At 46.9% G+C, this 25,344-nt stretch overlaps 1 protein-coding gene, 1 long non-coding RNA gene and 1 pseudogene across 6 annotated transcripts in view; 2 read left to right on the forward strand and 1 right to left on the reverse strand.

The window, feature by feature from the left end:
- SMIM41 (small integral membrane protein 41) overlaps positions 1 to 23,796 on the forward strand; it is a 28,552-nt gene extending 4,756 nt beyond the window's left edge. Inside the window, exon 3 of the mRNA NM_001369216.1 lies at positions 22,920 to 23,796. The gene's annotated coding sequence lies outside the window, so the exon portion shown is untranslated. The remainder of the gene's footprint in view (positions 1 to 22,919) is intronic.
- Positions 287 to 23,860, forward strand: OR7E47P (olfactory receptor family 7 subfamily E member 47 pseudogene; annotated as a pseudogene). Of its 3 annotated transcripts, NR_120438.1 has the most exons (3): positions 287 to 370; positions 3,129 to 3,225; positions 7,561 to 7,826. The product of NR_120438.1 is annotated as an olfactory receptor family 7 subfamily E member 47 pseudogene, transcript variant 4 (transcript). The 3 variants fall into 3 exon arrangements; NR_120439.1 differs by lacking the exons at positions 3,129 to 3,225; positions 7,561 to 7,826 and adding an exon at positions 22,920 to 23,860; NR_120440.1 differs by lacking the exons at positions 287 to 370; positions 3,129 to 3,225; positions 7,561 to 7,826 and adding exons at positions 9,110 to 9,170; positions 22,920 to 23,860.
- Positions 4,753 to 25,344, reverse strand: part of SMIM41-AS1 (SMIM41 antisense RNA 1) — a 29,007-nt gene continuing 8,415 nt past the window's right edge. Inside the window, exons 2-4 of one of the 2 annotated variants that reach the window (XR_007063312.1) lie at positions 19,700 to 21,542; positions 10,220 to 10,393; positions 4,753 to 9,039 (exon numbers count right to left, since the gene is read on the reverse strand). This is a non-coding gene — a long non-coding RNA (SMIM41 antisense RNA 1). Of the gene's footprint in view, positions 9,040 to 10,219; positions 10,394 to 19,699; positions 21,934 to 25,344 lie in introns of those variants that run through there. The other variant, XR_002957412.2, reaches the window with a different exon arrangement.

The raw sequence follows: 25,344 nt of genomic DNA on the forward strand, positions 1-25,344 counted from the left end.
AAACAGTGGTGCTCACAAAACTGAAGTTAAAGTAGACAATGAAAAGAGCCCAGAGTGAAAGAGCCGAGAGCAGAGAATGAGAGCTCTGCTGGGATTAGCAAAGCACAACTCACAGAGGAAGTGGCATCACCACTGGGCATTTACCTGGCAAGAAGAGGGCAAGAGCATTTCAGGCAGAGATTTGGAGGTGTGAAGCAGCGAGCTTCGGAAGCAGGGGGGCTGGGGCAGGGCGGATGAGGGAGGTGTGACCAGGGTGGTGGGTAGGGCCAGACTGGGCAGGAGTTGGAGCTTACCCCAGGAGCAGTGAGGTGTCTGGAAGGTTTCATACGGGAAGTGACATGTTAAGATCTGGATCTTAAAGAACTTGGGGGTAAGTCTGTGGTGGGGATAGCAGGCTGGAAGTAGAGAGGAGGCAAGGAGGCTGTTGTCAAAACCCAACAAAAATGATAGTCGCCTGGACCAGGGGTAAGAAGAGGGCCAGGGCTGAGACACCAGCTTTGGTCACTGGTTGGATGTGAGGGATGAGGGAGAGGGAGGAGGGGAGGACGATGTTCTGGTTTCCAGCCTGAATACTGTGTGTGCGGTGGTGCCACCCACTGAGAGGATGTGTTATCAGTTAGAACTTTTTTGGTCTGAATTTATAGAAAACCCAAACTATATTTGGCTCAGGCAGAAGGGAGCGTATTGTCCCATGTAACTGAAAAGTCTAAGGGTGGTTCTGGCCACAGGCCCAGCATGATTCAGGGCTCCATGGTGGGAGCAGGCCTCAGTTTCCCCTCCTCTCGTAGCTCTGCTTGCCTGTGTCGGCTTCTGGCAGTAGAGCCTGGTGGTTGAGAGCAAGGACTCTGGAATCACATGGTCTGGATTTGAATTCTGGCACCGTAGTTATTAGCTGCATGGCCTGACAAGGCCCTGAACCTCTCTGTGGCTCAATTCCCTCCTCTTTAGGGTGGGGAAAAATAGGGCCTAGCTCGTGCCATGTTTTGTTAGGATGAAGTGAGATCCACACATTTAGGGTGCTTGGCACATACCTCATGCCAAGAAAATGCACTGTGAGTGTTGATGGTGTGCGTTCCCGGCCTCCATGTGAGGCAGGACATTGGCTTTAAGCCTCTCAGGTTCAAAGCTATCAGGAAAGAGGGAGGTCTTCTCACATGTCACTTGGGCCAAACCCTGGGGTTTGCTGCTATTGGGCCTGTTTGACTCTGTGCTAACCCTGAAACAGTACTACGCTGAGAGTATGGAATGTTCTAGATTTTGGTAACATGCTGTACTTGGGTTGGGGTAGAGGTGGAAGGAACACCACAGACCACAGGGTCCAAAGCAGAGGGCTGTCTGTGCACCAAATCTGGGCCTGTTCAGTCTTGGGGTGAACAGATGCTGGGTGGCCATGAGATAACTCATGTCCGCTGCTGATGGGGCCATGGGCAGACAGGCGGCTGATGAGCTCAGCTGTGGCTCCTTGAGTTGGAGGCAAGCTGTCAGGTGGACAATGAGTATATAGGACTGGAGTTCAGGAGAGAGAGTTCTGAGCCCTGATGCTGCTGGAGGTGGAAAGTAAAGCTGCAGGAATGCATCAGAATGAGGCGAGAAGGCAGGGGATGCAGGACGCAGCCCTGTTGGACCACCACTTAAAGGCAGGAGCAGACAAGGAGTGCTCAGGGATGGGGGAGGGAGCCCGAGGAGTGGGCTCTCTTGGCAGTTGAGGAAGAGAGGATTTCAGAAACTGAGGGGTTGGCCAGGGGCCTCCATACCCTGAGCAGTTCTGGGGTGCTGAGAGGGGACCTGCAGCCTGGGACCTTGGAAGGAAGAAGTGGGGAAGCCTTCTGCCCATCTGAGCTGCAACCACCACTACCCCTCAGGCTCCAAGAAAAGCTCCACACAGAGGAAGATGGTGATGTGGTTGCCTCTGGTTCTGCGAGCCCACTGCAGGGTGAAGAACAGACTTATTAGAATATACTCTTTCATGCTGTATGAATGCTATCCCAGGCACATGTCTCACCTAGGCATAATAAGACAATAAAAAAATAAAACAAACACGCAAAAAGGATCCTCATCCTGCTCCACAGCTGCCAGGCTGCCCTTCCCAGCCGCAGCTGACTTCCACGAGGCTTCTGTGAGTCCTGCCAAGAGGCCGAGGCTGCAGCCGCACGCCCACGCCCACGGCTCCTCTGGGTGTCCACCTGCCCTGGCTCAGAGCTGCAGCCTCTCTGGAATCCCTCCTTGAGAGGCTGTGCTTTATGGCCATGCCTTCTACTCTTTCAACCTGCTCACTCTGACATTGTCACTCTGGTCCCTTGACCTCTTTTACCTCTGCTTCCTCCCGGACCCTCAGCCTATTCCGGCTGCCCCACTTCCAGTGTAGATTGCTTGGCTCATTACCTCAGTCACTGTCTTGCCCATGTCCTAACTTCACTCCATCCACAGAACCATCCCAGTGAAACCTCATGCCTGGATGACTTCAACTCTCTGTCCTTTGAACTTTTACCCAGGCTGCTGGGTGCCCCCAAAGAACATCACACCCTTGAGCAGACTGATGGCACTGAGAATGGTCACGGGGTCCCACTGCCTGGCCCTCGCTGCAGCCAGCTCTCTCTCCTGCTGCATTACTGCAAGCCTTCCCTGCTCTTTCAAACCTGTCCCTCCCACCTCCCAACTCTGCTCAGGTGCCCTCTCCTCCTCCTACTTCCCATGGAAAATAAGTGGCCAGAGGAGGGCCGGGCCTCCGCCTCTGCAGCCCCTCCACCCCGGTGCTGAGCCACCCCGCTTCCTCCTTAACTCGATTCTTCAGTTGCTCCTCTGCTGGCTGTCACGTCCAAGCATACTCCGGTTTCTGCCACCTTAAAATAGCGCTCTTTGCACCCACTGCCGCCTCCGGTTACTATCCTATGTCTCACTTGCCTTTACAGCCAAACTTCTCCAAAGTTACCCACGCTTGCCGTCCCCACTTCCTTGCCTCCTGTTTATGTCTCCATCCTCTTCAGCCTGGCCTCCAGCCTGGCCTCCACCCGGCTAAGCTGACAGCCAGGTCGTCAGATCCCCTGGGTGGTTGCTCCAGCGGCTGCTCTCCTGGCCACATCTGCTGTGGCTGACCCCTTCTCACAGATCTCCTCCTGCTCCTGTGGCAGTTCCCGAAGAAGCTCGGTGCCATCAACAGGAAAGGATGAGACTTTGGATTCCAGAAGAACACTGCTGGGGCTTCCCCCCGAGTCTGCCACTTGCTGTGTGAGTTAAATCCTCTCCATCCTTAGGAAAATGAGATAGTGATCATGCCCACTTGGCAACACTCAAATGAGATGAAGGGCACCTTAGTGTCTGGGCGCTGGGGCTCTGGAGCGCCTGCTGGGTTGAATCCAGACTCCCTCAGCTCCTAGGCCTGCCCTTGGGGCATCTCCAGTCTCTCCTTGAGAGTCTTGTACCAGGGTTTCCTCTTTCCTGTCCCAACACCAAGTTCCTCTGGGCTCTCTCCTAGATCTTCCCCTGGGCTCCCTGCCCTTCCCTGGATGAAAATCGCCACCTCTCGGCCCGTGGCTCTGAAATCAGCAGCTCCAGCCTAACTTGGCCCCTGAATGCCATGTTAATCTGCCCACCCATTCTACAGAGATTTATTGAGCAGCTACTGTCCCAGGCACTGGAGAATGTGTTGTACATGAGACAGAGGGGTCGCTGTCCCACAGAGCCTGCGCACTTGCTGGTGGGAAGGGCCCTTCAGTGTACCTGTAAGCAAATGCATGAGGTGCCTGCAGAGAGTGATTGTGCTGCAATGGAAAGACAGCAGAGTGACGGGATGGAAACCTGTGGGAGACTTTCGTGAAGGTGGCCAGGGAAAGCCTCTCCAAGGAGGTGACACTTGAGCTGAGACCTGGCCTGTGAGGTGACTTCAGCCAGGGAAGATCTGGGGCACAGTATTCCTGCCAGAGGGGCGGGAAGCTCCTGGGGTGGGAATGAGCCTGGCATGTCTGAAGGGACACCAAGAGGCTAGTGCGGATGGGGAAGGACTGTGGAAGGTGCCAGAGCACACCCACAGCCAGGTTCTTCCCTCGGGAGCCGTCTCCCTGGCAGGTTCTGCATCTTAGAGGATGGTTTCTCCACCCCAGCAGCTGTCCCCGATTCCCCTCCACAGCCAGTGCGTCACCAAATATGGTCCCTTCTGCCTGACGGAAAGCTTTGTTTCATGTCCCCGGCCGCCACCTCGCCTTGCACCTGGTCCCTGTGTCCCTTGGGGCTTCTCAGCCCACCCATCCTCCACACTGTTGTCAGAGTCGTCTTCAGCAGAGGCGCGTTCTGTCTGGCCACACTGTCTGGTCCCTGTTTCACACTCCCTCAATGTGGTGTCCACTGCTCATAGGATGGCATCTTCCTGTGGCCCCCCAAACTGCTGCCCTCTTGATTCCCTGCTCCTGTGTCTCTCACTACTGTCCCTCACGTGCTCCACCATCTCCAGTCTTCTGGGCCTTTGAGGATGCTGTGCCCACCCCTCTGCCAGGCACCGAGTCTTCAGTGGCCGTGGAGGAGTGCTAGGCTCCAACCATTCACCCCTCACTCATCCAGCCGCCGCTGCTTGTAAAGCTTGTACTGTGTGCCAGGCACTGCTCCAGGCACCAAGGGAACAAAACCGGTGGAATTCCCTGCCCCTGTGCTGCCTGCTTTCTTGTGATGTGAGACAGATGATAAAGTACACAATTTAAAAATAGAGCCTGTCAGATGGTGTATTAGCTCCTGGGGCTGCCATAACAAATACCACAAGCTGGGTGGCTTGAAACAGCAGACATTTATTCTCTGATAGTTCTGGAGGCCAGAAGTAGGAAACCCAGGTGCTGGCAGGGCCATGCTCCCTCTGAAACCTGTAGGGGGGTCGGGTGGGGCGGCTCACACCCATAATCCCAGCACTTTGGAAGGTTGAGGTAGGAGGATCACTTGAGTGCAGGAATTGAAGACCAGCCTGGGCAACACAGTGAGACCCCCTTCCCCATCTCTACAAAAACATTAAAAAATTAGCCGGGCATGGTGGTGCATGCCAGCTACTCTGGAGGCTGAGACAAGAGACTTACTTGAGCCTGGAAGGTTGAGGCTGCAGTGAGCCATGATTGTGCCATGCACTCCAACCCGGGCAACAGAGCAAGACCCCCGCCTTCAAAAAAACAAAACAAAACAAAACAAAACAAAACAAAACAAAAACCTGCAGGAGAATCCGTCCTTGCCTCCGCCTCGCTTCCGGTGGTGACCGGTGGTGGTGGCCGGCAATATCTGGTGTCCCTTGGCTTGCAGCTGCACAGCCCAGCTCTGTCCCATCACATGGTGTTCTTCCCGCGTCTCTGTCTCCAAATTTCTTATGAAGACACCAGTCCTTTTGGATTTGGGGGCCCACCCCAGTTCAGTATGACCTCGTCTTAATTTAACTAATTACATCTGCAATGATCCTACTTCCAAATAAGGTCACATCCTGAAGTACTCAGGGTTAGAACTTTAGCACGTCTTTTTTGGGGGGGACACAGTTCAACCTATGGAGCAAAGCAAAGCAGGGAGGGTGCATGGAGAGAGCAGGGGAAAGGCTGGAATTTTAAATGGAATCATCAGGAAGTGTTGCCAAGAAGGTGTTGTTTGTTTGTTTGTTTGTTTGTTTATTTTTGAGACAGAGAATTGCTCTGTTGCCAAGGCTGAAGTGTGATGGTGTGATCTTGGCTCACTACAACCTCCACCTCCCGGGTTCAAGCGATTCTCCTGCCTCAGCCTCCTGAGTAGCTGGGATTACAGGCACGCAACCACCACACCTGGCTAATTTTTTATATTTTTGGTAGAGACGGAGTTTCACCATGTTGGGCAGGCTGAGTCAGGCTGGTCTCGAACTCCTGAACTCAAGTGACCCATCTGCCTCAGCCTCCCAAAGTGTTGGGATTACAGGTGTGAGCCACTGTGCCCGGCCAAGAAAGTGTTATTAGAGCAAAGACCTGAATGAGAATGGGCAATAGAGAGAGTGGGGAGGGGGCGGGGGGGAAGCACTCCAGGCCACGGAACAAGTGCTGAGACCCAGAGGAAGGAGCGCACCTGCTGTGGTCGGGGAACCATGGGGAGGCCCAGGGAGCTGCGGCTGCGGTGAGTGAGCAGGGAGTACCGATGAGAACACAGAGAGGCTGCAGGTGAAGTGGGTCTTCTATGGAGAGCCAGAAAATGGACTTGTCTTGCACATTTTCTCAGGAAGCCACTGAAGAGTGTGCTCTGCTCGAACCAGAGCATCAACCTGAAATGATGGAGGCCTCTTCATGCTCTGGCAGAGAGGAAAGACTGGGCAGCCAGTCTCATGAGTTCTCAGTTGTTGGAAATCCATAGGTGGTTGGAAATGCTTGTTGGCTGGAAATCCATAGATGGCCAGCGAGTGGGGCAGCTTCTTCTTGAATACAGATCCCACGCCTGGCTGCCATCCTCACCATCCTCTCAATACACACTGAACCTCACTGGATGCCCAAGAAGTACTTTAGTGAAGGATCAAGTAAGGGTTCCAAACCCACAAAGGTGATAAAGCTTAGCCAACTCTCTCCTTTCTTGTTTTTGTTTTTGTTATTTTTTTCTTATGAAAACAGGGTATCACTCTTTCACCAGGCTGGAGTGCAGTGGCACAATCATGGCTCATTCTAGTCTCAAACTCCTGGGCTCAAGTGATCCTCCTATCTCAGCCTCCCCAGTAGCTGGGACTACAGGGGTGTGCCACCACATCTGGCTATCTCCTTTCCACCATATAGAGTTCCCTGGCGTTTTTGCTCCATGGTCCCCTCTGCGTTCCCATCACGGGTTTCAGGTTTCAGGTGGCCATTCAGGGAGCTGTCCTCAGCCTGAGCCTCTGCTCTTTCTGCAGGGGGAGCTCCTGGGGGCTTCAACTCAAGCTCCATCTTTGGAATCTCTCTCTTCTTGAGCAACCTAAACCCATTCACCCCTATGAGAGCTACTTTTTGTTGAAATTGAGTCTATGTGAACTCTCCTCTTTTCATGACTTTGAACCCATTCCTTGCAAATAAATCTGGCTCAAGGTGGATGTGTCTGCTTCTTGGACCGGTTTGCATGATAAGAGCCACTATATTCGCTGGGAACTTCCCTGCCCGAGCCATCTGCTCAAATGCCAGCTCTGTTAGGATGGGGATTTCTGCTGTTTTGCACTGCACATGGAGGACCATGGAGAAATATGTTATTGAACGTTATTGAACAAGTGGAACTGCCCCTTAAATTTTTCCTTTGATCATAGAGTGGGGAGGAGGGCGGAACTGTAGATGTATGATAGCTCCTTAACTTTCTCAAACAAAAATGTATGAACTCCCAGAAATGTCCCAGAATCTAACGGAGGCACATTGGAGTTGGTCATATGATATGCTGCTGGCGTGAACAGAAGATTTAGGGAAGTGTTAACAACAAAGTTTAAGGAGGGCAGTTGGTAGACTTACAGATATTGTCAGGCTCATCTTTTGGATTTAGCAATAATGAAGTTTTGTGAGGAAATCAAATAATTCCAAAATGTTTTCAAGGCTGTCAATTCTTTAAATACCACCTTCATGGATTTGCGTTTTCTCCCAGCGTGCAGGCGGAGTGGAGAGTGACACGGCCACGTAATTGGTTGAAAATTTGAACGGCATGCTCTTGTACCTGGGAGGGCGTTCCAAAGGCTATGAAAACATTGGGAACAGACTCAACCACTTCAAAGGCACAGGTGGCTGGTGAATGGAACCCTTTGCTGCCTGCTGGTTCCCAATTTTGAATGTATCTTTTTGTTTAAAATGTCTTTGTTACAAACCAAACGTTACAAGAATTGTAGGGGAAATGAATTAAAAGTAGAAACAATATTTCATCCTTTGTCATTTGAGAGAAATGATGAATATTTCAAAACCATTTGTCAGAAAGCAGGGAGTTATGTCCCACTTCTCCTCCCCCAGAGACCAAGGCGGTGTTTCTTTCAGTGGGTTCCAAGGTCCTCTAGCGCCAAGGGACTTTTATGGGTGTTACTTGAAAAAAGGGTGGTTAATAACTTGAGGATTCTGTGTTAAGCAAAGATAAACAGGCTTCTTTATTGTAGTTCTTTAAAGAGGCATTCCTATGCCAATATTAGGATGAATCTAAAAGGGAGAGGATTTCAAAGCAGATTTGGCCAAATAATTCTTTCACCTCCTTCTTTTTTTAGAGGAGCATCTCATGGGACCACCATTCCAACATTCATGCTTTGGGAAACATTCTAAAACCTTCCCTTTGGAAGAGTAGAACAATTTTAGAAAAAAACAAAACCAAACCAAACCATGCCACTTCAGATGCATTTCCTTTGCTTTGTCAGGACAACAGCATAAAATTAATTTTATTCCCAAGGATTGTAATGCCATGTTACTAAATTTAAATTTACTTTTTTTTAGTAAAGTAGTTTTTTAAAAAACTCTTTTAAAGAGTGATTTAGAAAAAACACATTTTGGGCTGGGCATGGCGGCTCATGCCTGTAATCCCAGCACTTTGGTAGGTCGAGGCGGGCAGATCACGAGGTCAGGATATCGAGACCATCCTGGCTAACACGGTGAAACCCCGTCTCTACTACAATACAAAAAAAATAAAGAAAAAATTAGATTGGTGTGGTGCGGTGGTGCACAGCTGTAGTCCCAGCTACTCGAGAGGTTGAGGCAGGAGAATCGCTTGAACCCGGGAGGCAGTGGGTGTAGTGAGCTGAGATCTCACCACTGCACTCCAGCCTAGCGACAGAGCGAGACCCTGTCTCAACAACAACAACAACAAACAAAAAACCCCACACATTTTGGAACTACAACTTACATAAAACAAATCTCTACAGAGAGTGTTGACCAAGGATGTTCAATAGTTTCATACAGGATGGAAATGTAGCCCCAGAATTTCATTTTTGCCACAACTATTTTACCCAAACTTTGTTGTACTCTGTGGTTCCGGCAACTTGGCTGGTTTTCCTGTAGCACGGTTGTCACAAGGAAGGCCTGTTCCTTGCAGGTGGACTATTTTGTTTGCTGATCTCTGTGGCAGCCCGGCAACCCTGTTGTCTAAAATGAACTGACCCAGAGACTGGGGTCAGTAGGCTGCGCCGTTGGCTGAGGTATGGGGATTCGGGGCCAAACCCAGGGAGCCTAAAGGCCTGACTTGCTGTCTCTGCTGGGAAGTTGGCTGTATTGGCCGAGAGACTGGTAATGTTTTACTAAATTAATCAAGCTTATCTTGATATGTTTTTATCATGTTATACATTTGGAACTTTAGCTTCTGGGTTGTAATGCTGGCTTCTGTGGTTATGGCTGAAGACTGTCAGGTCGGCTCTATTGCTGGACTAACATAATAGAAATGGACAGATTCTTTATTCAATTGGATTATCATTCAACAAAAGCAACCCTTTTGGAAAAATCTGGCCGGGTGGGGCGCGGTGGCTCACGCCTGTAATCCCAGCACTTTGGGAGGCCGAGGCAGGTGGATCACCTGAGGTCAGAATTTTGAGAACAGCCTGGCCAACATGGTGAAACCCTGTCTCTACAAAAAATAGAAGAATTAGCCGGGTGTGGTAGTGGGTGCCTCTAATCCCAGCTACTCGGGAGGCTGAGGCACGAGAATTGCTTGAACTTGGAAGGCGTAGGTTGCAGTGAGCTGAGATTGCACCACTGCACTCCAGCCTGGGTGACAGAGCAAGACTCCATCTCCGGAAAAAAAAAAAAGAAAAAGAAAAAAAGAAAAATCTAACTTGAACAATTCCTATGAAGTTTTTGATTTTTTTTTTTTTTTTGAGACGGCATCTTTCTCTGTCACCCAGGCTGGAGTGCAGTGGCAGCACAGTCTCAGTTCACTGCAACCTCTGCCTCCTGGGTTCAAGCAATTCTGCTTCAGCCTCCCGAGTAGCTGGGACTACAGGCGTGTGCCACCATGGCCAGCTAATTTTTTTGGTCTGTATTTTTAGTAGAGACAGGGTTTCATCATGTTTGCCAGGCTGGTCTCGAACTCCTGACCTCAGGTGATCTACCTGCCTTGGCCTCCCAAAGTGCTAGGATTACAGGCCTGAGCCACTGTGCCCGGCCAACACAAAGCTTTGTTCTTGTTGGATTAAGGCTCACTCAAAGAGGGAAACTCTTCCATGCACATCCAGGTAACCTGCGCCTCTGTACCCCCTGGGATGTTGGTCAAGCTATGGCTTGGCCTCCAAATGCACTTGTGGCTGACCATTCATTGCTCCTCCCTCCTGCTGTGCTCTCACCTCTTGGCCTCTGCAGCGCCCTTTGCTGTCCTTGCTTCCTCTGTTGTTGATCAGTCTAGGTGTTCTTTGGATTTAGTGGAGCTTCTGTCTCTCCTCTGGGTCTCTCATTTTAAAGTCTAGCTTGAGCGTCTTCACATGGTGCTAGGTCCCAAGAAGTTAGCTGATGAACTTCTGCTATAATATGACCAATGGTCAAAGCAGGTCACAAGGCCAGTCCAGATTCAAGGAGAGGGAACATAGACTGCCCACCCCTACACCCCTGCCCCCTGTTTTTTTTTTTTTTTTGAGATGGAATCTTACTCTGTCGCCTAGGCTGGAGTGCAGTGGTGTGATCTCCGCTCACTGCAACCTCTGCCTTCTGGGCTCAAGCGATCCTCCTGCCTCAGCCTCTGGAGTATCTGGGACTACAGGCATGTGCCATCACACCCACTTAATTAAAATTTTTTTTTTGTAGAAATGGGGTGTCGCTATGTTGCCCAGGCTGTTCTTGAACTCCTGGGCTCAAGTGATCCACGCTCCTTGGTCTCCCCACCGCTGGATATTACAATCCACATCGCAGGGGGTCGGGCGCCCCCCGCGATGCGGGGAGTAACATCTCCCCCCTCTCCCCCACTGGATATTACGATCCACATCGCAGGGGGGCGGGCGCCCCCCGCGATTCGGGGAGTAATATCACCCCCCTCTCCCCCGCTGGATATTATGATCCACGGTGGTCCCATAGCGTGTTTACGTTATTGTCAGTAATGTCTTCTCCGCCTCTGGAAATTACCAACTATATCACAGATGGGTGTATATCCTCTGCAGTATTTGCAGTAATAGCATCCTGTTCCCCCTGGATATTAAGAACAATATCACAGGAGTGTTTCTACCCCCAGCGGCATTGGGTGTTGTATCATCCTCTCCCACGTTGAAATTAGGAACAATATCACTGGGGGCGTGTCCACCCCATGCGATATTGAAAGTAATATCATCCTCTTCTCTCCTGGATCATGGGAACAATATCACTGGGGTGGTGTACATTTTCTGCGGTATTGGGAGTAACATCATCCTCTCTGCCTTGGAATATTAAGGACAATATCACAGGGGGGCTGTACACACCCTGCACTGTTAAGAAGAATATTATCCTCTCCCGTCCTGCATATTAGGAAACAGAGTGGGTGTACACCTCCTGCGATATGGGGGGTAGTATCATCTTCTCTTCTTCTGGATAGTAGGAACAATATCACACGGGTTTGTACACTTTCTGTGATATTGGGAGTAATATCAACCTCTCCGCCTTTGAATATTAAGAACAATGTCACAGAATGGATGTACACCCCCGGCGATATTGGGAGTAATATCAGCCTCTCCTCTCCATGGATATTGGGAATAATATCCCGTGGTGGGTGTACATCTCCTGTTGTATGGGGAGTCTTATCGTCCTCTCCCTTCCTGGCTATTAGGAATAATATCACAGGGTGGCTGCACACAGCCTGCAATATTGGGAGTAATATCACCCTCTCCCCCTCCGGATATTAGGAACAATACCACAGAAGGGGTGTACACTTCCTGCGATACTGGGAGTAATAGCATTCTCTTCTTCCGTGAATATTAGAAGCAATATCACCGGGTGGATGTACACCCACTGCTATATTGGGAGTAACGTCATACTCCACCCCCTGGATATTATATTCGGGTCAATATCACCGGGTGGGTGTACACCTACTGCGATATTGAAAGTAATACCATGCTCTCTCCCTCCCTGGACATCAGGAACAATATCACAGGTGGGTGTACACCCACTGTGGTATTAGGAGTAATATTAGTATTAATTATTACTCATTTATTATTAACATTAATATTAAGTACCAATATTAATATTAAGAAATAATTGATAATAAAAAGTTTTTGGATTATTAACATTAATAGTAATTATTAGGAGCTAATATTACTGTTTTCTGATGAATAAGATCAGTACCGGTTATTAATATCAGGCGTTATTAATAATTAATATTAATTTATTGTTATCGTCAGTATAACTATTGCATATTGTCATTATTATCGGTAGTGATTTTAAAAATTATATTATCAGTTATTAATATTGATAATTTATATCAATTAATAATTGATATTATTAATTGCGATACGTAATATTGCGACATTCCTCACAATATCGCAGAAAATGTACACCCCCCTGTGATGTTGTTCCTAATAGCCAGGGGTAGACGATGACATTACTGCAAATATCGCACTGGGTGTACATCCCTTCTGTGATCTTATTGCTAATATCCAGGCGGGGAGAGGACGGTATTAATCCCAATAATCCAGAAGGTGTAGACCTACCCTGTGATATTGTCCCTAATATCCAAAGGTGGAGAGGAAGATATATCTCCCAATTTCGCAGGGGTCGTACACCACTCCTGTGATATTGTTCCTGATGTCCGGGGTAGAGAAAATGACATGACTCACACTATGGCAGGGGGTGAACACCCCCTCCATGATATTGTTCCTAATATTCAGGGGGGAAGAGTATGATATTGCTCCCAATATCCCAGGGGGTGTATAGTATCCCGACCTGTGATAGGCTCCGCCACGATGCGGGGAGTACTATCACCCCCCTCTCTTTCCCTGGATATTACGATACACATCGCAGGGGGGCGGGCGACCCCCACGATGCGGGGAGAAATATCACCCCCCCCCGGATATTACGAGCCACATTGCAGGGGGGTGGACACCCCCAGTGATGCAGGGAGTAATACCTACCCCCCTTCCCCATGGATAGCACGAGCCACATCGCTGGGGTGTGGACACTCCCCGCTGATGCGCAGAGTGATATCAACCCCGGTCCCTCCCTGCATGTTAGCAGCCACTGTGGACACACAGTGTATTTACAATATTTCCAGTAAGATCATCTTTTCTATTGAACCTTATGAACAAGATCACAGAGGGGTGTACACCTCCTGCGATATTGGGAGTAATATCATTCTCTCCTCCACTGCATACTGGGAACAATATCACAGGGGCGTGTATTCCCCCTTCCATATGGGAGTCATATGATACTTGCCGTCCATATATTAAGAACAATACCAAAGCGGGGATGGACACTTTGACGATATTGGGAGTAACATCATTCTCTCTACCCCTGGATATTAGTAGCAATATCACAGGGGGGATGTACATTTCTTGTGATATAGAGAGTAGTAGTATTTTCTTCCCCGCTGGATATTAAAACCAATACCACAAGGGGCATCAAACCACCTGCCAAATTCGAAGGAATGTTATCCTCTCCCCCGCCCCCGCCCCCGGATATTAGAGACAATAACACAGGGGTAACGTACACCCACTGCTTTATTGGGAGAAGTATCATCCTCTCCCTTCTTGGATATTAGGAGCAATATCACAGTGTGCGTGTACGCCTGTCGCGAAATTCAATGGAATGTCATCCTGTGCCTCCCTGGATATGACGAACAATGTCACGGGGGATGTACAACTTCTGAGATATTGGGAGTGATATCATCCTCTCCCCTCTGGAAGTTAGGGACAATATCACAGGGGTAGTGTACACCCTCTGTGATGTTGGGACTAATATCATCCTCCCGTCCCCTGGATATTAAAAACCATGTCACAAGGGGCGTGTACACACACTTCGATATTGGTATTAATACCATCCTCTCCCTCTTTGGATATTCAGTGCACTATTTCAGGTGGGGTATACACCACCTGCAATATTGGAAGTAATATGATTTTCTCCCCCCTGGATATTAGAAACAATATCACAGGGGGTGTGAACAACCCCTGCGATATTTGGAGTAATATCATCGTCTCCCCTCATGAATATTAAGAACAATATCGTGGGGGGGGGGGGACGTACACCCCGTTTGATATTTGATATCATCCTCTTCCCCCCTGGATATTGGAACAATATCAGGAAGGGATGTACAGACCCTGTGACATTTGCTGTCATCTAATTGTCTCTCCCCTAGATATTAGGAAAAATGTAACCGGGGATGTGAACACCCCTGCGATATTGGGAGAAGTATCATCCTCTCCCCCCTTGTATATTAGGAACAATATCACGGGGGGGGGGGTGTACTGCCTCTGCGATATTGGGAGTAAAATTATCCTCTCTTCCCTTGGATATTAGGAAGGGTATCAGAGGGGGAGGGTGTACATTCCCTGTGATATTCAACGTAATCTTAGCCTCTCCCTCCCAGGGTATTCAGAACAATATTACAGGAGGGGTGTACACCCTTTGCGATATTGAGAGTCATATCATCCTCTTTCGCTCTGGATATTAGGAACAATATCACAGGGTTGTGTACACCCCCTGCGATATCGGGAGTAATATCATCTTCTCTCTCTCTGGATATTAGGAAGAGTATCACAGGCTGTGTACACCCCCTGCAATATTGGGAGTAGTATCCTCTCTCCCTCTGGATATGAGGAAGAGTTTCACAGGGATGTGTGTACCCCCTGCGATATTGGGAGTAATATCATCCTGTCGCCCTCTGGATATTAGGAAGAGTTTCACAGGGGTGTGTACACTCCCTGCAACATGAGTAGTAATATCATCCTGTGCCCCCTGGATGTTAAAAACCAAATCACGGGGATTGTACACCTGCTGCGATATTGGGAGTAATATCTTCCTCTCTCTGCCTGGATATTAGAAGTAATATCACGGGTGGTTTACATCCCCTGCGATATTGGGAGTAATATCATCCTCTCTCCCCCTGGATATTAGGAACAACATCACAGGGGGGTGTCCACCTCCTGGGATATTGGTGTAAAACCCCCTGTGATATTAGGAGCAATATCATCCTCTCGCCCTCTGGATATTAGGAACAGTATCACGGGGTGGGGGGTGTACATCCGTGCGATATTGAAAGTAATATCCTCTCCTCCACGGTTTTTAGAAATGAAATCACAGTGGGTTGTACAGCTGGTGCGATATTGGTAGTGATATCGTTCCCTCCTTCCCTGGATATTAGGAACAACATTACAAGGGGGTTGTATACTACCTGCGATATTTGGAGTAATATGATTCTTTGCCCACCTGGATATTAGGAACAACATCATGGCGTGGGGGTCGTGGAAAACCCCGGCTATTTTGAAAGTATCATCCTCTTTTTCCCTGGATACTATGAACAATATCACAGGAGGGATGTGCACCTTCTGCGATATTGGGAGTAATATTATCCTCTCCCGCCCTGAATATTTAGAAAAATATCACAGTGGGGTGTACACCCTGGTGATATTGGGAGTAATATCATCCTCTCCACCCAGGAAATTACTAACAAGGTCACGGGGGGTTGTGTACTACCCCTGAGATATTGGGAGTAATGACATCCTCCCCAAACCTGGATGTTAGCAACAAGATAACAGAGGGGGTGTACACACCCTGTGATATTGGAAGTAATATGATCCTCTCCCCCCCCGGATATTGGGAAAAATATCAAGCGCGGGTATACATTTCCTACGCTGTTGGGAGTAATATCATTCTTTTCCTCTCTGGATATCAGGAACAATATCACAGGGGTAGTGTACATTTCCTTCGATATGGGGAGTAATATCATCCTCTCCCCGCTGGGATATTAGGAACAATATCCCAGGGGGGTGTCCACCCTCTGCGATATTGGGAGTAATATCATCCTCTGTTTCCTTGGATATTAGACACAATATCACAAAAAGGTGTACACCCCCTGCAATATTGGGAGTAATATCATACTCTCCTTCCCTGGATATTAGAAAACAATATCATCGGGGTGAACAACCCCTGCGAGAATGGGAGTAATATTTTCTTTCTTTTTTTTTTTTTTGAGGCAGAGTTTCACTCTTGTTGCCCAGGCTGGAGTGCAATGGCACAATCTCGGCTCACTGCAACCTCTGCCTCCCGTATTCAAGCGATTCTCCTGTCTCAGCCTTCTGAGTAGCTGGGATTACAGGCATGCGCTACCGCGCCCAGCTATTTTTTTTTTTTTTTTTTTTTTGTATTTTTAGTAGAGACAGTGTTTCTCCATATTGGTCAGGCTGGTCTTGAACTCCCGACCTCAGGTGATCCACCCACTTCGGCCCCCCAAAGTGCTGGGATTACAGGCGTGAGTGACCGCGCCCAGCCACCACTTAGCATTTTCATTTTACATTTGTTGAAGTTATAGATTGATACATTGATTGCTGCTTTATTACATACACTTGCATATACATAAAATGGGAAGTAGAAAAGAATAAAATGGGCACAGTATCCCTAAAGTTTCGCATTCTGAGACATTTTAAAAATATTTGCTTTTTAGAAATTTGTTTCAATTAAGAAACTATGGTATACACACATAATGAAGTATTATTCAGCCTAAAAAGGAGTAAAATCCTCTCCACTGCAGAAAAAAATGGATGAGATTACAGGTCTGTATATTAAGTGAAATAAGCCAGGCACAGCATGACAAATATTACATGTCCTCACTTATACGTAGGAACAAAAAAGAAAATCTTGGCCAGGTGTGGTGGCTCAGGCCTGTAATCCTAGCACTTTGGGAGGCCGAGTCACACGGATCACTTGAGGCCAGGAGTTCGAGACCCTCCTGGCCAACATAGTGAAACCCCCGTCTCTACTAAAAACACAAAAAATTAGCCGGGTGTGGTGACGTGTGCCTGTAGTCTCAGCTACTCGGAAGGCTGAGGCCCAAGAAGCACTTGAACTCGGGAGGCGGAGGTTGCAGTGAGCCCGGATTGTGCCTGTATACTCCAACCTGGGCAACAGAAAGAGACTCCATCACACACCTACACACAAAAGGAATCTCAGGAAGGTGGAGAGTATAAAGGGGGTTAGCAGACGCTAGGAAGAAAAGGGGTGGGATGGGGAATGAAGAGAAGTGGATAATTGGGTCCCAAAATACAGAAAGATGGAATAAGTGAGTTCTAGTGTTTGATAGTACAGTATGAAAATTTAACTCACAAGAATTTCTTGCATATTTCCAGACGCTTTGGTAAGAAGCTTCCTAACTTTCTCATTATGCTGGTTTTTAAGCTCTTCTCTTTCTGCTCTTGAAATCATGCTGTTTTTTTGTTTTTTTTTTGTTTTGAGATGGAGTTTCGCTCTTGTTGCCCAGGCTGGAGTGTAGTGGTGCAGTCTTGGCTCACCGCAACCTCTGCCTCCTGGGTTCAAGTGATTCTCCTGCCTCCACCTCCCGAGTAGCTGGGATTACAGGCATGCGCCAGCACACCCAGCTAATGTTGTATTTTTAGTAGAGACGGGGGTTTTTCCCTGTCGGTCAGGCTGGTCTTGAACTCCTGACCTCAGGTGATCCGCCCACCTCGGCCTCCCAAAGTGCTGGGATTACAGGCGTGAGCAACTGCGCTCGGCCCATGCTGTATCTTTATCTGTTGTCTCTTGCTGTTTGTTTGTTTTTGAGCCCAGAAATAACTTCTCACCTATATGTTCAAGTGATTTTTAACATGAGTGCTAAGAAAGTTCATTGGTGGAAAAGCAGCCTTTTCAAGAAATGGTGTTGGAGAAACTTGATCTCCACATGCAGAAGAATGAAGGTGGACCCTATGTCACACCAGGTGCAAAAATTAACACAAACTGGATCAAAGACCTCACCCCAAGTGCTAAAAGTATAATATGCCTAAAAGAAAACATTGGCCACACTTTCATGACATCAGATTGGGCAATGCTTTCTGGGATGTGACACCAAAAGCATAGGCAACAAAAGAAAATTAGATTCCTTGGATTACATCTAAATGACAGACACTTTTGTACATCAAAAAACACTGTGAACTGAGTGAAAAGATAACCCGTGGATTAGGAAAAATATTTGCAAATCATATATCTGAAAAGAGGCTGATATCCATCATATATAAAGAACAGCCAGAACTAAACAACAAGAAACCCAAAGCATCCCATTAACAATGGTCAGAAGATTTGAGTAGACATGTCCCTAAAGAAGATATAGCAATGGCCAATAAACATCTAAAGTGATGTTCAAATCACTAATCATAGGGAAGCACAAATCAAACCAATAATGTGATACCACACATTAGGATGGATATGATAAACAAGCATTGGTGAAACGAGAGGGAAGTAGGAATGCTCGAATATGATTGGAGGGAATGTAAAACCATGAAGGAACAGGGAAAATAGTATGGCGTGTACTGGAAAAATTAGAAACAGAATCATCAGATGTTCCCGCAGTTGCACTTGTGGGTTCCTACCAAAAAGAATTAGAAGCCAGGAGTGGAAGAGATATTTGTACACCCATATTCATAGCAGCATTATTCACAACAGCCAAAATGGGGAAGCAACCCAAGGGTTCGTGGACAGATGAATGAAAAAACACGCTGCAGTGCATTCATACAATGGAAGACTATTCAGCCTTAAAAAGGCAGGCACTTCTGGCCGGTGCGGTGGCTCATGCCTGTAATCCCAGCATCTTGGAAGACCGAGGTGGGAGGATCACCTGAGGTCAGGAGTTCAAGACCAGCCTGGCCATCTTGGTGAAACCCCGTCTCTACTGAAAACGCAAAAAATTAGACGAGCGTGGTGGCGTGTGCCTATAGTCCCAGCTACTCGGGAGGCTGAGGCACAAGAATCGCTTGAACCCGGGAGGTGGAGGTTGCAGTGAGCCCAGATTGTGCCACTGCACTCCAGCCTGTGTGATAGAGTGAGACTCCATGTAAACACAAAATGAAACAAAATAAAATAAAACCAAAAAAAAAAAAAAACCAAAAAACAAAACAGACAGGCACTTCTGACACAGGCTGCAACATGGATGAACCTTGAAGAGATTATCGTCAGTGAAATGAATAAATCCAAAAAGGATAAACACGACCAGACTCAGTGGCTTGCACCTGTAACCCCAGCACTTTGGAAGGCTGAGGTAGGCAGATCACTTAAGGTCAGGAGTTCGAGACCAGCCTGGCCAATATGGTGAAAGCTTGTCTCTATTAAAAATACAAAAATTAGCTGGGTGTGGTGGCACACGCCTGTAATCCCAGCTACTCGGGAGACTGAGACACAAGAATCGCTTGAACTTGTGGAGGTTGCAGTGAGCTGAGATCACGACACTGCACTCCAGCCTGGGCGACAGAGAAAGACTGTCTCCAGTAAATAAATAAATAAATAAATAAACACGGTATGATTCCACTTATATCAAGGGTCTAGAGTAGTTAAACTCATAGAGTTGCAAACTAGAATGGTGGCCCCCAGGGGTGGGCGAGAGAGAGGAATGGAGAGTTTGGTTAATGGATGCAATTTCCATTTTGAAAGATAAAACTGTTCTGGAGATGATGGCGGTGATGGTTGCTAAACAATGTGAATGTACTTAATGTCATTAAACTGTAAACTGAAAAATAGTGGAAATTGTAAATGTTTATACTGGCCATTCTATATGAAATAATATATATTTATAATTTTTAATATTTATATGTGGTATATTTTCCCATAATGAAAGATTAAAATTAAAGCAGTTGGATCTTTAAAAAGAAAAGAAAGAAGTGAATAATACACACCAGCTTTCTCCTGATTAGAGGAAGAGCCCCAAAGCTTCTATGGACACTCACTTTTCTCTTCTTCTTCTTGCATTATTATGAGGAAATCCTTAAAGGTTGGGGAACTTGGGCGACTTTGGCTAATGAGGAGCTCTGTGCCTTGAGCCCCCCAGGCCATAGAATAGTAAATAGTCTGTGCCTCCAGCCCTGCAGTGTGAGGTTCCAGTCCTGTGGGCTCCACACCCATCACCTGTATCAGGAGGCTCATGTCTCACCCTGTCTTCTTGCCAGCCTTGAGGATGGAGTCTGAGCCTCCATCGTGCACCACGCAGGGAGGACAGTGGACTTGTTCTCCGTGGTCATGGCCCAGCAGAGGGGAAGGGCAGTTCAGTGAGTGCTGAGGGACGGTTGGGAGCCTTGTTTTGTATCCTCATCCTCAGGAAAAAAACAGGAGAGTGCGGTGGGCAGATGGGAGGAGACCAACGTGCAAACTGTCGGCTCAGCAGACTGTGGAGTTTCTGTTCTTGGTTATGGTCGGGGGGGGGCGGTCTCAGAAATCTTATTCAAAATTTTGCTTTCCTCCCCCACTGGTTGTCCTTTTCATAGACATCTCACCCATGATAGCAGGGAATGAGTCCCTCTAAACTATTCTCTAAGAACAATAAAAAGATTATGAAGGTGATGATGAGGATAAAGAGGATGATGACAGACACCATGGCATCATGAACCCTTACTGAGGGCTTCCTAAAGGCCAGGCTCTGAGCTCTGTGGTCTATGCAGCTTGTTTCATTTCCTCTGCGTAGTCTCCCAGTTATTAGTGCACATTTCATTATTATTTTACAGACTAGAAAAGGAGCAATGCATTTTCATATAACTTGTACCAGATCATGAAGTCAAAAAGGGTGAAGTCCAGTTTGAACCAGGCAGCCTAAGTCCAGACACATGGCATTTGGCCAGTCCTCTCCCTGCATCCAACCTGCCCTCTCAAATCCTTGTCACTCAGGCCGATGCCCCTGCTCACTGTGCCCTTCCTTTTGGGGGTTCCTTGTAGACCACAGCTAGACCAGTGGGTGCCACAATCACTGTGTCAAGTATAGAAAGGGCAGCTGAGATCACATCAAAGATTCCAGAAAGAATTGGCACAGGATCATTCGGGATGCATCTCTCCCTTGCCCCTGTTCCTGGCTTTCCTTACAGCTCTCGACTTCCTCAAAGGAGTCATAAATTCGGAATTTGGCTTCTCTTCCTGTTGAGGAAGCTGGAAACTGTTTCAAAAATGCTCCTCAGATGTACCTGTGGTTAAGACCTCTGAGCTCTGCTTTAAACTTTTTGAAGCTGGGCGCGGTGGCTCACGCCTGTAATCCCAGCACTTTGGGAGGCTGAGGCAGGCGAATCACAAGTTCAGGTGTTCGAGACCAGCCTGGCCAACATGGTGAAACCCCGTCTCTACTAAAAATAGAAAAAAATTAGTCGGGCATAGTGGCGGGCGCCTGTAATCTCAGCTGCTCAGCAGGCTGAGGCAGGAGAATAGCTTGAACCTGGGATGCGGAGGTTGCAATGAGCTGAGATCACTCCACTGCACTTCCAGCCTGGGCAACAGAATGAGACTCCGTCTCAAAAAAACAAAAACAAAAACAAAAAAAAACTCCCACAACTTTTTGAGAGTTGGAAGACCATGAAGTATAGTATCTGGGACTTAGAGTCTGGCCATTAATTTTGAATACCATCCTTTCTACTTATCTGTATGGCAAGGGGTGAGATGTCCATCCTCTGAGACTCAGCACTCTCATCTGAGTTGATTTGTAGTTGATCCAATGGAAGTGAGTGATGATTAAACCGATCGTGGGCTCCCGCTGCATGATCTCTATGATGGATGCATAAAGTAAAGGTAAAGTGAATTTTAGATACATTTGTTAATATTTTAAGCTTAAACTCCATACAATTCAATGGAAATATCCCCTGACCTGAAGTTCTGGTTTCCCTGCATTCCAGACAGGACATTTTATTTTGTCCTTATCTCAGTAAGTACTGAGTATTGTGAGAGGAACAAGTGAGTCTCTTTTGTTTCTGACTCCCCAGAGCCTACATCTTGCTTGGCACATAGGAGACAGCAAAAGTAAACATCTATGTGAATTATTGAATTGACACTTCCTTGGTTCACAAAAATTGGCTGTCATCAGTGTGACTTCGACTTACGTGATTCTTTTTGTTTTTTGTTTTTTGAGACGGAGTTTTGCTCTTGTTGCCCAGGCTGGAGTGCAGTGGTGTGATCTCAGCTCACTGTAGCCTCTGCCTCCCAGGTTCAAGCCATTCTCCTGCCTCAGCCTCCTGAGTAGCTGGGACTACAGGTGCCCTCCGCCATACCGGGTGAAGTTTTTGTATTTTTAGTAGAGGCGGGGTTTCACCATGTTGGCCAGGATGGTCTTGATCTCATGACCTCGTGATCTGCCCTCCTCGGCCTCCCAAAGTGCTGGGATTACAGGCGTGAGCCACCGCGTTTGGCCAAACTTTCTGATGAAAACTCTAAGTCCCCCTAAGCTAAGGACAGGAGTTATAGCTTACATGAATTTTAAAACAAGACCCACCGATTTGAGTAAGCAATTACTCTCTTGAAGGAGAAAAGTCAGAAAACATAATGATGAAATCACTAGGACCTAACTCGCATGTGGAACTATTTTCTGCTTATGAACTATCAACTTTAAGTTCATTTCCAGATGGCATGGTCTCAGCTGTTATACAGTGTTTATAAATGTTCTAAATCAAGGAAATTTGTATCAATCTATTAGAATAAAAAATATTTGAGTTCTTAATTTTCTTTAGTTAGGATAACCTTTTTCTTAAAGTGAAGAGAATGGTTTTATTACATATTTTTCTTCGGAAAAGATAGGCTGTATTTTCTAGCAATTATGAATTTGTTATTTATGATGATCTGGTTCTTGGAACATTCTTGAATCTAGTGTCTCTAAGGCAGGTATGTACAGCAAGAACTGAATAACACAGAATCAATGATGAAAGCATTATAAGACAATTCATTTTGTCAGAACTGCAAAATATTCCTGAGTGTGGATTGCTCTGGAATCTGAAAACATTACTTGTGAATTGCTTGTATCCAAAATGCAGACACAATGCTGGGTGTTGGTTTACTTGTTTCTGATTTCTCAACGCTCTTTTCTAGGCAAAAGTTGTCCAAACTATACAGACCCACAGAATCTAACAGATGTCTCTATATTCCTCCTCCTAGAACCTCAGAGGATCCAGAACGGCAGCTGGTCCTTGCTGGACTGTTCCTGTCCATGTGCCTGGTCATGGTGCTGGGGAACCTGCTCATCATCCGGCCATGAGCCCTGACTCCCACCTCCACACCTCCATGTACTTCTTCCTCTCCAACCTGTCCTTGCCTGACATCGGTTTCACCTCCACCACGGTCCCCCAGATGACTGTGGACATCCAGTCTCGCAGCAGAGTCATCTCCTATGCAGGCTGCCTGACTCAGAAGTCTCTCTTTGCCATTTTTGGAGGCACGGAAGAGAGACATGCTCCTGAGTGTGATGGCCTATGACCGGTTTGTAGCCATCTGTCACCCTCTATATCATTCAGCCATCATGAACCTGTGTTTCTGTGGCTTCCTAGTTTTGCTGTCTTTTTTTTTTCTCAGTCTTTTAGACTCCCAGCTGTACAACTTGATTGCCTTACTAATGACCTGCTTCAAGGAGGTGGACATTCCTAATTTCTTCTGTGACCTTTCTCAACTCCCCCATCTTGCCGTTGTGACACCTTCATCAATAACATAATCATGTATTTCCCTACTGCCATATTTGGTTTTCTTCCCATCTCGGGGACCCTTTTCTCTTACTATAAAATTGTTTCCTCCATTCTGAGGGTTTCATCATCAGGTGGGAAGTATAAAGCCTTCTCCACCTGTGGGTCTCACCTGTCAGTTGTTTGCTGATTTTATGGAAGAGGTGTTGGAGGGTACCTCAGTTCAGATGTGTCATCTTCCCCCAGAAAGGGTGCAGTGGCTGCAGTGATGTACACGGTGGTCACCTCCATGCTCAACCCCTTTATCTACAGCCTGGGAAACAGGGATATTAAAAGTGTCTTGCGGCGGCCGCACGGCAGCACTGTCTAATCTCAATATCTTCTTATCTGTTCCATTCCTTTTGTAGTGTGGGTTAAAAAAGGCAGCAAGGTCAAATAAGAATGATATCACAGGGTGAACACCCACTGTGATATTAGGAGTAATACCTCCCTAGGATATAAAATATACTGTCACAGAGTATACACACATGCGGTACACCCACTGTGATATTAGAAGCAGTATCTCCCTTAAATATTATGAAAAATATCACAGGGTGTGCACACTGTGTGATATTAGGAGTAATATTTACCCTGGATATTACGACTAATATCAAGGGTGTACACACACGGGGTACACGCACTGTGATACCAGGAGTTGTATCTCCCTAGGATATTATGAATAATATCACAGGGTATACACTATGTGTGTACATCCACTGTGATATTTGAAGTAATATCTCTCTATGAGATTACAAATAATATCAAAGGGTGTACACCCCTGTGACATATTAGGAGTAACATCCTTCTAGGGTATTACAGATAATGTCACAAGCTGTACACCTTCTGTGACATTTTGTACACTCTTTGTGACATTAAAAGAAACATCTCCCTAGGATATTATGAATAATGACACAGGCGGTGTACACACATGGTGTACACCGCCTGTGCCATCAGGAGTAACATTCCCCTAGGATATTATGAATAATATAACAGCAGGTGTACACACATGGTGAACACCCCATGTGACATTAGGAGGAACATGCCCCTAGGATATAGGAATAGTATCACAGATGTTGAATACACATGATATACACCCCCGGTGACATTAAAAGTAACATCCCCCTAGGATATTACGAATAATATCACAGGGAGTACACCCCATGTGACATTAGGAGTAACATCCCCCGAGGATATAACGAATAATATCAGAGGGTGTACATGCATTGTGACCTTAGTAGTAACATCTCTTTAGGATACTACAAATAATATCACAGGGTGTACACGCATTGTGACATTGGTAGTAACATCCCGCTAGGATATGACGAGTAATATCACAGGGTGTACACCCCCTGTGACAACAGTAGTAACATTCCGCTGGAATATGAAGAATAATATCACAGGAAGTACAGCCCCTGTGATTTACGAGTAATATTTCCATAGAATATTACAGGTCATATCACTGTGTGACTCTGTGTACACCCCGTGTGGCATTAGGAGTAACATCCCATAAAACTATTACGAATAATATCACAGGGTGAACACCCCCTGTGACATGAGGAATAACGTAGTTTTAGGATATTATGAATGATATGACAAGGGGTACACAGCCTGTGATGTTAGGAACAATATCCGTCTAGGATATTAGGAATAATATCACAGGGAACACACCCCCTGTGATATTAGGATATTATGAATAATATCACAAGGTGTACACGCATTGTGACATTAGTACTAATATCCCTCTCGTATACTATGAATAATATCACAGGGTGTACCTCCCTGTGACATTAGGAGTAACGTTCCCCTAGAATAGGACAAATAATATCACAGGGGGTACACACCCTGTGACTTTAGGAGTATCACCGCCC

Source organism: Homo sapiens, chromosome 12 (genome assembly GCF_000001405.40).
Source record: "Homo sapiens chromosome 12, GRCh38.p14 Primary Assembly".
In the NCBI taxonomy this organism is placed as follows: domain Eukaryota; kingdom Metazoa; phylum Chordata; class Mammalia; order Primates; family Hominidae; genus Homo; species Homo sapiens.